Here is a 14,924-nt window from a genome sequence, read left to right as displayed (position 1 = left end):
CGGCTAATGTTTATATTTTTAGTAGAGACGGGGTTTCACTTTGTTAGCCAGGATGGTCTCTTTCTCCTGACCTGGTGATCTGCCTGCCTCAGCCTCCCAAAGTGCTGGGATTACAGGCGTGAGCCACCGCACCCAGCCGTATTTTTAATATTATGGCTAATTTTAATAAGACCTTATAAACAAATCTAATCCCAGTCAATCTTGACAGCAAAAGAATTTTGTAACCTTTTATAATATTTTTATAACCTTTTATAATATTTTTACAATTTTATATTAATATATGAATATATTTTTATTTTAATTTTTATAACTTTATATTTTTATTTTATAACTTTTATATCCATTTAATGTTATTTATCTTTTAAATTTTTCTTTAAAACAATCCCTCAAAACCTCTAAGCTAAGCAAAATTATGTTTCCCACCATGAAATTTCAGTTTCTTTTCCTAAAAATCTCCAGATTTAGACCACTCTAATATTTGGTTTCAGATTTTGACTTTTATACTCAGAAGACTTTGGTCTATAATTTCCCTTTCATGGAATGTCTCATACTGTATTTGGTATCAAGATTCTCCTCATCTGATGAAGACAGTGTGGTTGTGTTTTTTCTGTATCCTATGAAACATTGTGTACAAAAGTGTTTAGAAACAGTACATTTTTCTAAAAATAGGAAAATATTTAAGACAAAACGCTTGGTGGAAGAATCAAAAGTACAAATCAGTAATAATACTATAAAATATGTTCATAAATCCATAGACGAATTGGAGTGGGGGAAACAAAAAAATGAGGAAGAGATTTTGAGTACAAGTGAACTGGCCTATTTGAAGAAACCATGATCGGAAGATGAAAGTGAACATATCTCAGCAACAGTACATAAAATTCCCCATATTTGAGCGTTCTTTGTATGACATTCCGAAATTGACAAATGCTGTCAAACTTGAACCTCGAAGCTCACAGAGTGACAGTTAGAATGGAAGGCAAGATATGCTTCATCACATGATCACAGTGATAGGTCACTGTAGAATTTTCAAATGAATACATGCCACATTATGGGGTCCAACTGCTGCTATTTTGACATGGGTAAAAGGGTCACTTAGAGTATATGTTGCATTTCAAAAACTGAATCTCAGACCCACAGTATTATTCTCTGTGTATGAAATAAATGTTAAATGAGGAAAAAAGACCTCTCAATTATATTTGATAGTGAACATTTTAGAGTGAAGAGGGAAAAAGCTAATGTGTTGAGAATAAAAGGAGTTCCTTGCTTGAGTTGAAATGCTCTCCTCACCCATTTCTACTGTTCCTGAATCACTGGACATTTCTAGATTAAATAATTTAAAATTTGTTCCAGATTTAGTTTAAAAAGCACTATTATAAATTTAGTTTGAAAAAGTAATTATATAAAACCTTCTTTTATCACTTATGTATATTACCTATTTTTTCTCTCTATGCAACTAAGTTTATGTACTTATTTCTGAATCTCTGAATTTGTTGAGAGATCCTCTATTCATGTATGCATAAAAGGCTGGCTATTCACTGAGACATTAAGAGAAATGAAGCACTATATGTTCAACAGTGGGTTGTTTGAAAGCATATGATACTTTTTTAAATGGAGACTTCTGATAACCCTAAATTCCAGGATTAAAGATGTGTTGTGGCACATCAACCAGCCTGATCACACACATTCTTATGATCTGGTCATGAGAATTAGGAAAGGGAAGGGAATTGACAAGCCCTTTAAACATGCAACAATGGAAAATTCTAAAACATGAGAGAGTTGTCATGTCTAAAACAAAGTAGATACCCTTTTAGATATGAAATAGTTCAGTACAAATTTCCATCACTGCTGGTTCATTACAAGTTTCTAGAACTATTTTATCAAATGGGTCATTGATGAGATATAAAAACCGCATTAATATAGATGTTGCCATTTTTTCAGGGATTATTTAATTGACAGGGTAGTTGACAGGGTTTGGGAAGGAACGTGTAATGTTTCCTCACTCTGAGTATAGAGTTTTAATGGTTAATCGCTAGATAGAAAAATGTGTATGTGTAAGGCACCATCATAAACATACATATATATGTCCAGTGACAGGAATTTCATCACTGTCTGTCTCATATGAAATTTAAGATTTAGTGGTGAAACGTAAGAAAAACTAGAAAACAGAGTCACATCTCTGAATGCTCAATTAGGGGAGAAAATAAAAAGACTTGGTAATATATGAAGAAAATAGAATTATCTGATTGAAGGAACAGCATTCAAAGAGCAGATCAAACTTTCATTTGGTTGAGCAAAACACTTTCCTTCCTGCTGCCACCTGAGTGTCCGCAGTGAGTGAAGAGTAAGTGAATAAATATAAGCAAAGCCCTTAAAAAGCTTCCTCACAGTGTCAGTGCTATATGATTGTTTAATTAATAAATCTGGAAAGATGTGCAGAAACTTAACCATTATTACTTCCAGAGGCAGAACCTGATAGGCTGTGGAAGAAGGAAAGAAGGAAACCTAGATTTCAATGTATGTTATTTTGTGCCTTGTGAATGTCCTACAAGTGTGTTATTCTTGGCGCTTTTACCGTGAATTTTTTTAAAAGAAAGAACCACCACCGTAAAATAATGCATGAAACAACCATTTTATTTTGTTCATGGTTCACAGGGCTAGGAAGAAACAGAAAAGATGGCTTATTGCTGTTTATTGGTGTTTGGGGACTGCAGAGAAGACTCATTGGCCGGAGTTGAATCCACAGCAAAGGGTTGGCATCATCTGGAGGTGACTTCACTCACATGTCTGCAGAGGACATGGGGCTTGGCTTCAGGACCTATAGGAGACCTCCCAGTTACCCTGGGATTCCAGGTAGCAGAGCACTCTCAGGACATTCAGAGCTTTGACTTGGTGATCAAGGGCACCATAGGTGAGTGACCTGAGTGAACCAGGCAGATGCTCATGGCCTTTTTAAACATAACTTTGGAAGTTACACAGCATCACTTTCATGTCATGTGTCAGTGACAAGTGAGCACTAGTGTCCAGTCTGGTAAGGGTGGGCATAGACCCCCATATCTCAAAGGGAGAATAGCAAAAAAATTGCAAACATCTTTAAAAAGCCACATGGATATTCTAGTTTAAAACTACTCAGGTTTTTTTCTCTCCTGGGCTTCTCACCACAGCTCTGGGGTGATCTTAGGGCTTATGTTTCCTCCCCAACTTGGAGGCAGCAGAAAAAGGGACTTTGGTAGTGGTTGTGGCCAAGGGTCTTTTACTTATGTCCTGTTAGATCCACCCAAGAGTGATGCAGGTCAGCAATCGCCCAGTCTCACTTATAAGTGGGAGCTAAATAATGAGAACCCATGGACACAAAGGGGAACAGCAGACACTGGGCCTACATGAGGGTGGAGTAGGAGGAGGGAGAGGACCAGAAAAAATAATTATTGGGTACTAGGCCTAGTACCTGGGTGATGAAATAATCTGTACAACAAACCCCTGTGATACGAGTTTACCTACATAACAAACCTGCACATATCCCCCTGAACCTAAAATAAAAGGTTAAAAAAAAAGTTCTTGGTAGCTGAGATGCCTCTCAAATATGTGATAAAAGATTTGTTACTTTGTCACACAGGCCAGGGGTAAGGTAATTGTGGGTTTTACTTCTGCCTCAGTCCCTGTGAGTTGATTGACAAGTAAATGCAAATATTCAGGGAAACTTACTGAAGCGTTATGGGGCAATAAAAGCTAATGTCTGCCTTAAATGTTTCTCTATCAAGGAACCATTTAATTGACTCTGTTGAATTTAAAAATCACAAGATTTAGGCCAGGTGCGGTGGCTCACAGCTGTAATCCCAGCACTTTGGGAGGCAGAGACAGGTGGATCACCTGAAGTCAGGATTTTGAGACCAGCCTGGCCAACATGATGAAACCCCACCTCTACTAAAAATACAAAAATTAGCCAGGCATGGTGGCAGGTGCTTGTATTCCCAGCTACTCAGGAGACTGAGGCAAGAGAATCGCTTGAACCTGGGAGGCAGAAGTTGCAGTGACACAAGATCGTGCCATTGCATTCCAGCCTGGGTGACAAGAGTGAAACTCCATCTCAAAACAAAACAAAACAAAACAAAACAAAACAAAACAAAACAAAAACAATTCACAAGATTTAACTATTTGGAATGGAGAGGAGGCTTTATTTCTTATAAGGGGTTACAGCCTGCAACAGGCTGAGAAGAATGCCTCTGGCTAAGACCAGGGACTAGGGACAGGCACTTTGAAGGAATATAGGTTGGGGTAGGAGCATTATGCTGGACAAGTTAGCTAAACATACATCTTCAACAGGTTATAGGAGGAGCTATGAATATGCATGAAGGTGGTCCTGAGGCACATGTATTGAACCAACATGCATGTAATACATGACCCATGTTCACTTTGGGGTGGAGTCCTAACACTTGAATGTATTATAATTAGGCCCTATCAGTCAAAAGGTCTTTACAGGACACGAAGGCACTCAAGTGTGCAATCTCTGTAAAACCAGCCAGAACCAGTTCATGGTGGGTGGTCTTCTTATCAGGAGAAAGTTACTGAAATCAGTCTCTTGTCTAATCAAAGCTGTAGTTATGGTGCTTGGGACAGGAGTTGGGAGCCAATTAGTGTCTGGTGATGAGCTACAATTGTTTTTATTTTGCTTATGTCAAGGCCAGTGTTTATTTAGCTGCTAGAGAAAAAAGAAAAACCTTGTGGCAGTTAGACCATAGTTAATCTTTAAGTTTAGAGTGCTTGACCTAACCCTTGCCTGGCATGGCCTTAGGTCTTGTTTATAATTGATATCTCATTGCCACAAAAAGTCTGTTCTGCCAGTCTTATGATCTCTATTTTAACATTAATGCTGGTCAGTCGCTGTGTCTAAACCACAAACATGAGGGGGTATAATGAGACATGTCTGACCTCCCATCCCATCATGGCCAGGAACTCAATTGTAAGATTTTTCTGGGGTCCCCTTGGCTAAGGGGAGTGTCCTTCAGTTGGTGGGGGCTTAGGATTTCATTTTTAGTTTACAATTTCTGCAAAGGGAAAGGCTGCTGATAAACCTTAAACTTCCTGCACTTGTGTTTCAAAGCAATAAATCAGACCTCTTAAGTACTAATGGAGTTGTATACAATTTGTATGGTGGCCAGTTTCCCTTCTAGCCTGAAAGCCCTGTGAAGACAGAGTTCTTGGCTTTTTTATTCCTTAACAGTTTTCTTACTCCCAAATTAGCATGTAGCAGCAGGTACACAGATGAGAATCTCTTTCTTTGTTCCCCACAGTTTCTACCTTGAACAATTCTCCCTGCCAACATGCAGCATCATCCTGTAGCCTTATAGTTTCCCCAACATCTAATATATGTTCTTCCAGTAACTGGAGACTGAGATGCTGCAGGGCCAGACAGCTGTGTTCTTAGCCAAGTGACAAGCAAGGCTTTGTTGGGCTCTTTTTACATTATTCACCTTAGAGTCCAAGCTGAGCAACTCAAAACTATACACATGGGGCCAGAAAATCATCAGCCTCTGAGGGTCAGCTATATGATCTTACAAGAGCTCATTAGAGATGAAAAACTGCCTTGTAAATTCCAAAGCGTATCTCTAGCTCAAGATTGCCTCTCTTCATATTGTCTCCTTTTTTCCAGTGGCTCCAATAGACAAAAACTGTAGCAAAAATTGTTAATTTTGGGGACTTGTTCTGTTTCCAGTATTGAGAATTTAAATTCCAAGCTGCCCACTAGCTGCAAAAAGCAAGGAAGTTGTATCACCTTCACTTTCCGCTGCAGCTTTTCCTGATAAGTGTGTTCCCTCTAGAATTTATGAAATTGAAAGCATTTAACATTTTATATCAATTTTATCATATTAATACATCTAGATGTAATAGCCACAAAACACAAAGCCATTAAATTTTTTTTTCTGTTGCAAACTAAATCCATAGCAGTAAATCCAGCATTTGCAGTTAGGTTAGCATTACTGCTGTGGGAAAGATTCAGGTTGGAAAGCAGATGGGGGAGGGTACAGGGGGTGGTAAAGAAGGAGGCAGCTCTTGCAACAGGGCAGCAGCTGGGCTGAAGAAGAGGCTGGATGGAGTCTTGGTGCCCTCCCCACCCTCCCACCCTCCCACCCTCCCACCCCAGCTTTGCTCCAGCCCTGAGAACTTCTAACATTTTTGGGGCCACCTAACACTCACCTTTATAATTTGTCACTGTTGTTTTTTTACCCTCCCACCTGGAGAAGAGAATAAAAAACAAAGCCAATCCCCAGATGTATACTTTCCCCCTCACTTCATCCAGCACAGCTCAAAGAAGCCAGGGTTGGATCCATTTCTAACCCCAAAGGTCACTGTGGCTTCTAACAGCAGATGGCAGTTCAGCTGCTGCTCTCAAACCATGGAGGGCTCGATAGACACCAAGGCTTATCACCATTCCCCTTCATTCTTCCTTTTCCCAAACAGTGATGGAGCCAAATCTTAGTGAATCAGGACTGTTCTAGCAAATTCCACTTCTGGGCCAGGTGCAATGACTCACACCTGTAATCTCAGCACTTAGAGAGGCTGAGGCAGGAGGATCACTTAAGGCCAGGAGCTCAAGATAAACCTGGGCAACATAGCAGGACCCCATCTTTACAGAAAAAAAAAAAAAGAGCCCGGGATGGTGGCACGTGCTTGTAGTCCCAGCTATTCAGGAGGATACATACCTGTAGTCCCAGCTGAGGCAGGAGGATCACTTGTGCCCAGGAGCTCAAGGCTGCAGTGAGCTATGATTGTGCCACTGCACTCCAGCCTGGGTGACAGAGTCAGAAGTAAAAAAAAATTTGCTTCTGATGCCAACTGTATTGGGGATTCCCAAGAACACTTCTGGGCTAAACAAATTGCTAGGAGGACTGACAGGACTTGGCATATAGTCACAGTATGGCTACAACTTATTACAGCAAGGTCAGCAAAGGGGAGAGGTCACAGGGCCATGTCCAGAGGAAACCTGGTACCAGCTTCCAAGCATCCTCTCCTAGTGGAGCCACATAGGATGTGCTGAATTCCTCCAGCAACATGCTGTGACAACAAATGCAAAATGTTGTCACAGAAGCTCCTTAGAGACTCAGTGCCTGGGCTTTTTATTGGGGGGCTGCTCGTGTAGACACTGTCTATTGTGCAGAAATCAAGATTCCAGATTCCCAGAAAAAAAGCAGGTGTTCCGCAGAAACCATATTGTTTAGGTACAGTGAGCCATTTGATCAGTGAGGGAGGAGGGAACCCTTCTGAAATCCAGGTTCCCAAACCTTCCCAAAATTCACATTCCCAGATACCAGACAAGGATAGGATAGCCGTCTCAGGCCACTTCAAAGGCAACTCTACTTCAATTGATTTTTTTTCTTTTCTTTTTTTTTTTTTTTGAGAAGGAATCTCACTCTATCACCAGGCTGGAGTGTAGTGGCGCAATTTTGGCTCACTGCAACCTCTAACTCTCGGGTTCAAGCGATTCTCATGCCTCAGCCTCCGGAGTAGCTAGGGTTACAAGCATGTGCCACCACATCCAGCTAATTTTTATATTTTTTTTAGTACAGACAGAGTGTCACCGTGTTGGCCAGGATGGTCTCAATCTCCTGACCTTGTGATCCACCAGCCTCAGCCTTCCAAAGTGCTGGGATTACAGGTGTGAGCCACCATGCCTGGCCACTTCAATTGATTATTAGTTTGCAAGTTTGTAATGCTTTCAATGGTTCAACCCCTGTTTGATGTTAGTCCTGAGTTCAGACTTATGAGTGACAGACACGCTAAGGCAGCTGTGAGATTATCAAATTCACTCAGCTCAATTTTTGTCATGGTTGCTATTACCTATTTTTATTTGTGTATATTTGAATGCCAAATACCAAAATTCAAGCATATACTTTGCGATGAATTGTTTGAAAAGTGGAGATTTATTAAATGAGGAAAGATTCCTTTTGAAGCTTTTTGTGCAGTATGCAAAAATAGAGAAAGGCACCAGCACATAGTAACAGCTAAACATGGAAGATGTATGATTTCCTCAACTAATACTATATAAAGTGGTAAACAAATTTTTTTATTAAAAAGAATTCAAGACCGAGTGCGGTGACACACACTTGTAATCCTTGCACTTTGGGAGGCCTAGGTGGGTGGATTGCCTGAGCTCAGTAGTTCAAGACCAGCCTAGGCAACATGGTGAAACCTTGTCTCTACTAAAATTACAAAAAATTAGCGTGGCATGGTGGTGAGCACCTGTAATTCCAGCTACTCGGGAGGCTGAGGAAAGAGAATTGCTTGAACTTGGGAGGTGGAGGTTGCAGTGAGCTGAGATTGCACCACTGTATGATGGTGTCAACTGGGCAACAGAGCGAGACTGCCTCAAAAAAAATAAAAAATAAAAAGAATTCAGATTGAGATATAGTAATTGCAGTGGAAGTTGTAACTATCTGCCACACTATATAACAGGAGCAGTCTTTCAGCTCAAATGACAATTTGAAAGTACTACTGCTAGAAGTATTTTCTGATTTCAAAGATGCAATCAAATTTTGAAGAGCCAGGATGAAATCTACTGCAACAACAACAAAAGTAATAGCTTCACTATGATCACAGAGATGATCAATGATCTAAATGCCTCACCTATTTACAGCAGAGCCATGGATACAAGTAAGCACAAGGCAGAAGATATTTTCCCTTTGCTTCTGAACTGCTTTTGGTGGCGATAACACAAATACAAATTGTGGTTGATGTTTGCATAAAGGCACAGACATGCTTGGTCCAAGCTGAAGTACAGCATGAATGATTCCAACTTGTGGGCCGTCCGACCCACATTCTGCATCATGAGGTCCAAATAGCATCTGATGTTCTTTGCATTTTCATTGAAGTAACTGTCATAAAATTGTTCTCTTACTTCAGCATTTACACGATTAGAATTGAGTGATTAAAGGATTGTTTGATTTTTTTTGGCATTCAATATTCTTCATTTCCTTTGTAGTTAGAAACTCATTGGCTCCTGTAACTAACACAGTTGAGAAAGTTGTTTATGTAAAGTCTTGAAATATTTTAATTCTCAAGAAAAGATTCCAAAATTTTTGTTTACTTTAAAAATAATCCATTGATTGAAGTTTACTTGTTTTTTGTTCATGTTTTTTTTTTTTTTTTCACTAGGAAACAAATATTTTATTCCTTTTTTCTGTTGTTCAGACAGATCGTGATACAGAAAACAGCAGTCTGGCACAGAGGCTCGGTTGGTTGATTTCCACAGGCACATGGAGGACAGGAAGGGCGGGATCTTGTTTGAGCTCCCGCTGTCATTATGACCTTTGGCCTCTTCCTGTACCCTCTGCAGCAGTGCTGCATGGAGCCTACTGGGTCTCTAACCTACCTCACTCACCTCTCTGACCACTGACAGGCAGAGCAAAGGATGCAGGAGTTCTCTGCTGACCAAGGGGACATGGGCGGAGAAGCAAAGGCCCCTTACTCTCCCTCTGTCCATTCCAGTGTGCTGGCAGCAACAGAATGGGAATCCTTCAGTCATCACCTGCTGGAGACTCAACTTCAAGGACGGAAGCCTGTGTCCACAAAAACTCGGCTGTAGGTTGAAGTCTTAGAAGCAGGAAGGTTGGAGATGGGTGGGATACCAGAGCCCCTGTGGTTATTGCTGATAAGATATGTAAGGGCTACATTCCCCAAGGGCAGATTAGAAGCCCTGGGCCTGGGCTGGGCATGGTGGCTGACACCTGTAATCCCAGAATTTTGGGAGGCCAAGGTAGGTGGATTGCTTGAGGCCAGGAAAAACCACATCTCTACTAAAAATACAAAAATTAGCTGAGTGTGGTGCTGCCTGCCTATAATCCCAGCTACTCGGGAGACCCAGGCATGAGAATCCCTTGAACCCAGGTTGCAGTGAGCTGAGATCGTGCCACTGCATTCTGGTTTGGGTGACAGAGTGGGACTCTGGAAAAAAAAAGAAAAAAAGCAGCAGCCCCGGACCTGGAATCCCTGGGTGCTATGTGAAGGGCAGGGCAGATGGAGCCCCCTGGGGCTTCCCCAGGGAGAAAAATAACCGTGGAAGGGTATAGTAGCCTCCTGAAGGCAATGCTGGGCTTACAAACTCCTTGCTTTGCTTTGTATCTCTAATTGCTGATCTTCAGAACAGACTGAGGTTGGAGTGGGATAAGGAAGCGAGGTTCTTGTAAAAGGAGTGAAGAGACTCCATAAAGAAAGATGATGAAAGTGATGCAAACCTTCCCAGGTCCCAAGACAACTGGAGACTCCTGCCCATGCTCTAAAGGGAAGGAGCTAGACTCTCCAGGGAAAAAAGCAGACCCCCAGGAGTGAGAGGTGATGGGGGGCAGATAGGAGCAGATGGCCGCATGGCTCAGCCTCTGCCCAGGAAAGTGAGTCCACAGTTCACTAACTATAATAACCATGAACAAGTAGCCATGAACATTACAGTCAGCAAACACACACACAGACACATCACAGGAGTTGGAGGAGCCTGCAGGCTGCAGTGGTGAGGCAAGAGATTAGTTGGATCATCAGGTGGAGGAATGGTGTTAGAAGGGACAGGGAAGGGCATGGGGGGACACACAAGTTATTGGCTTCTCTTGGGGAAAGATTTGTTGCTGAAGTGGCTGTTTTCTTAAGCATCAACATTTGCATCTAAAAGTTCAAGCAGCTGCCTTCAGGTTCCAGAGGCTTCCCACTGGAAGGCTGCACTTCATTCAGCTCTCTGCTTTCTGGAGCTTTGTTGCATTTGCAGTGATGAGGTTCTCCACCTGGGCTTCCTCCTCTCCTGGGGTCCTGGGCTTCTGATTGAAACTGCACTTGCATCTGCAACCTAGGATAAGGAGGATCCCAATGGAGAAGAGGACCACAGCACATACCAACCCCCTAATCCTCAGGGTCTGGTAGTCATAATGAAAAGGGTCAATTTGCTTCTCCCTCTCAACTGCATCGGCCAGGACAATGTGGGCCAACAGGCTGCATAGAAAGATCAGCACCACCTCCATGGTGCCGGCACAGTCAGTCCCATCTGAGATGATCCCAGGAGGATGTGTCAAGTCCCAAGGAGGCTGGGAGTGGCATGTTCATAGTTTTCAATCTCTTTAGGGATAGGATTATACAAATTGAAAGAGCAAACAATGTTACTGAAATAATCCATGGCATAATGGAACCTGAACCATTAAAGAAATAATGGAGGCTGGGTGAGGTGGCTCACACCTGTAATCCCAGCACTTTGGGAGGCTGAGGCGGGTGGATCACTTGAGGTCAGGAATTCGAGACCAGCCTGGTCAATATGGTGAAAACTTGTCTCTACTGAAAATATGAAAAATTAGCCAGACATGGTGGCATGTGCCTGTAATCCCAGCTACTGGGGAGGCTGAGGCAGGAGAATCACTTGAATCTTGGAGGCGGCAGTTGCAGTGACCCGAGATCATGCCACTGCACTCCAGCCTGGGAGACAGAATGAGACCCAGTCTGAAAAAAAAAAAAATGGAATATTCACAAGTGTCAAGACTGTTCTTAAAATGGAAAAACATTAGGCCGGGTGCCGTGGCTCATGCCTGTAATCCCAGCACTTTGGGAGGCCAAGGCGGGCAGATCACAAGGTCAGGAGTTCAAAACCAGCCTGGCCAACATAGTGAAGCCCTGTCTCTACTAAAATTACAAAAATTAGCCAGGTGTGGTGGTACAAGCCTGTAGTACCAGCTACTTGGGACGCTGAGGCAGGAGAATCGCTTGAACCCAGGAGGCGGAGGTTGCAGTGAGCCAAGATCATGCTACTGCACTCCAGCCTGGGTGACAGTGAGACTCCCTCAAAAAAAAAAAAAAAAAAAGAAAAAGAAAAAAAATCATGAGCAGGAAAATAAATTGTGACTTGAAATGATAATCATTACTGTACTTGCCATGATGTCTTCTGAAATACATCTCATCCCTTGAATAAACTGACTCTTTTACGTGGATGGTACTAAATGCTTTTCCAGCATGGGAACAAGTGGGATTATCATCAGTGGTGGTAAAGAAGGGAATAGAAGCCGGGCGCGGTGGCTCACTCCTGTAATCCCAGCACTTTGGGAGGCTGAGGCGGGCGGATCACGAGGTCAAGAGATCGAGACCATCCTGGCCAACATGGTGAAACCCCGTTTCTACTAAAAATACAAAAAAATTAGCCAGGCTTGGTGGTGCACGTCTGTAGTCCCAGGTACTCGGGAGACTGAGGCAGGAGATTCGCTTGAACCCAGGAGGCAGAGGTTGCAGGGAGTTGAGATTGCGCCACTGCACTCCAGCCTGGGTAACAGAGTGAGACTCCGTCTCAAAAAAAAAAAAAAAGGAATAGAAATGGAGAAAAATGCTTCTGTTTTGGTCAGTGGACATTTATTTTTTATTTTTAACTTAAACTTCAATAGCTGTTGGAGTACAATTGGTTTTTGGTTATGGATGAATTATAAAATGGTGAATTTTGAGATCTTAGTGCACCTGTCACCCGAGTAGTGTACACTGTACCTAATGTGTAGTTTTTTGTTTTGTTTTGTTTTTTGAAACTGAGTTTCACTCTTGTTGCCCAGGCCGGAGTGCAATGACGCGATTTCGGCTCACTGCAACCTCCACCTCTCGGGTTCAAGCAATTCCCCTGCCTCAGCCTCCCAAATAGCTGAGACTGCAAATGTGTGCCACCACGCCCAGCTAATTTTGTATTTTTAGTAGAGACGTGGTTTCACCATGTTGGCTAGGCTTGTCTTGAACTCCTGACTCCCGCCTCCGCCTCCCAAAGTGCTGAGATTACAGGCATGAGCCACTGCGCCTGGCCATGTGTAGTTTTTTAAATCTCCGGCCTCCTTCCCACCAGCCCCCTTCTGAGTCTCTAAAGTCCATTGTATCACTCTGTATGCCTCTGCGTACTCATAGCTTAGCTCCCACTTATAAGTGAGAACGTACGTTTTTTAGTTATCCACTCCTGTGTTACCTCTGTCAGTGAACATTTTAAAAAGTTATTTTGATCAAGAGATCCAACATACTCCTGAAGAATGGAAAATGCAGGTTTGTCATAAAAGATGGTATTACGTGGTTTAACAAATAAAATTTGAAGAGCAATTCCGAGTTATCTTTACAACAGTGTACAGGCTGGTAATGCTCATGTCCAGCGTGTTTTCTCAGGGTGAGCGTCCAGTGGACCAGAACCAAGCAAGTGGAGCCACAGGCGCAAGTGGAGGTGGTGCCGCCGCGGCGCAGCGGGGCCACAGGAACCGACCGTGTCTGGAGAAATTCCACTCCTGAATTCTGCCAAACGAGGAAGTGTTGAGGACAGCCAAATCATCAGGGAGATGTAATTCATAAGAAACCTGTGTAATTTAAATACTCATAATTTATTTCAGCTAACGAATAAAATTGCAGTATTGCACTCGGTGCATCTGGGAACTAACTACCGAACGGCGCTGAAACCTCAGGCCGTTTCTAAAGGAGCGGCGCGAGGACTTCTGGGAAATGTAGTCTTCACTTTCTCAGGGAGCGGCGCGAGGGCTTGTGGGAAATGTAGCGTGTACTTTCTAAGGGAGCGGCGCGAGGACTTGTGGGAAATGTAGTGTGCACTTTTTGGCCCCGGTCGCGGGAGCCGCTTTGGGCTTTCTGCGCATGTGCGCGGTGTGGCTCCAGGTTTGTTTTTCTCCGGTACAGCCTGGTAGGGAGGGCTCCCGGCATCTCCCTGCTTCGGGGCAGAGGATGCCGGGGGTAGAGTACGGGAGGGCTGGAGCGAGGGTGGACTGGAGGTGCCGCTTGTCCTGGAGGTGGGAGAGAGGGAGCGGCTTTGCCGCCTGGCCTGCGTCCTAATCCTGTCCTGGTTCTTCTGCTCCCGAAGGGAACGTAGGTCCCGCGCCTGTGATAAGTAAGGTTGGATTTTCTCTTCCCTGAGGTGAAGGATGCCCGGAGGCCTCGGCAGGACCGTGCGGAAACGGGCCTTCTGCCCAAAAGATGCTGCTTCTCTCCTTATTCTTTCCCCTCAGAATCTCGCTGTCTCCTTCCAACCACCTGTGGTCGGCATCCCCGCGTTGTCACTGCGACGCAGAGGCGAGCGAGGTGGCGGGAAGCACCCGCGGGGCGGGGAGGGACCCTGCGGGCGCGGACTCCACACCAAGCCTCTGCTCAGCGTCACCCCGCTTGCTGTGTCCTCGCAGGTCGCAGCTTCATGGCCTGATGCCTTCAGGAAGTATTTTGAAGTCATCGTGGCTGTGGATTGGGGGATTTCTTGTTTCCACTGACCTGTGAGGCCGCGCACGTGGAGGGAGGCACCCCGGGTCCTCCGGCACTGTCCGGCCTCGCCTGTGTCCCTAGTAGCAGTGGGCATTTCCAGACGGTGCAGCTTGTGGCTAAAGTGACAGGAAGATGTAGGAGCTTTCAGTCTTGGATGAGGATTCGAACTGAAGGGCTTAGGCCCAGCTGTCTTGGAGCAAAACATCTGTTGTGGGGTGAGAAGGGAAAGGAGGGGTGAGGGTGCAGGGGCCCTCCTAGGAGGACATCGGACCTGTTGGGCCGAGACCTCATTAGAGATCTAGAGCACGGATGGGAGGAGCAGAGGCTCGATTTGTGTCCTGTTCAGACTCCCACAGGCTGGGTGATGGTGGGAGATTTGTGCCCATTCAGATGTGGCGGCAGAGGAGGGCAAGGCCGAAGGAGCAGACAGCACCGCTTCTTGGGGAGTTGTGAAGGCATCATGCGGAGGGCCGAGCTTAGCAGCCAAGTGGAGGACAGCACCCTCCATGCCTGGATTCGTTACTCGCTCGTTCTCGATGTTGAGCTGCTGGCATATTGCAGCACAACTAGAGATGTACGGATGCCCCCATCTTGATCTTACAGAATCAGAGGTGCAGCCGCAAGAAAGGTCTGTAAGTTATCTATTTCGGCTTTATTTAAAAGATGGGATGGGGTGGGGTGGACAGGAAACAAGCTTA

General features: G+C 44.1%; 2 pseudogenes across 1 annotated transcript in view, besides 1 other annotated feature; one reads left to right on the top strand and one right to left on the bottom strand.

Annotated features, from left to right (window-relative positions):
• Positions 10,506-11,065, bottom strand: FXYD6P1 (FXYD domain containing ion transport regulator 6 pseudogene 1; annotated as a pseudogene).
• ZNF37BP (zinc finger protein 37B, pseudogene) overlaps positions 13,561-14,924 on the top strand; it is a 39,361-nt pseudogene continuing 37,997 nt past the window's right edge. Inside the window, exons 1-4 of the transcript NR_026777.2 lie at positions 13,561-13,657; positions 13,889-14,043; positions 14,151-14,441; positions 14,617-14,858. The product of NR_026777.2 is annotated as a zinc finger protein 37B, pseudogene (transcript). The remainder of the gene's footprint in view (positions 13,658-13,888; positions 14,044-14,150; positions 14,442-14,616; positions 14,859-14,924) is intronic.
• Positions 14,287-14,825: an enhancer, noted in NCBI's record as "H3K4me1 hESC enhancer chr10:43047054-43047592 (GRCh37/hg19 assembly coordinates)". NCBI's record gives its function as "activates a minimal SCP1, AML or CMV promoter by ChIP-STARR-seq in naive H9 embryonic stem cells {active_cell/tissue: H9 hESC(naive)}" and the evidence as "EXISTENCE:reporter gene assay evidence [ECO:0000049][PMID:30033119]".

Source organism: Homo sapiens, chromosome 10 (assembly GCF_000001405.40).
Source record: "Homo sapiens chromosome 10, GRCh38.p14 Primary Assembly".
NCBI lineage: Eukaryota > Metazoa > Chordata > Mammalia > Primates > Hominidae > Homo > Homo sapiens.
This window is presented reverse-complemented; position numbering and strand designations above follow the sequence as displayed.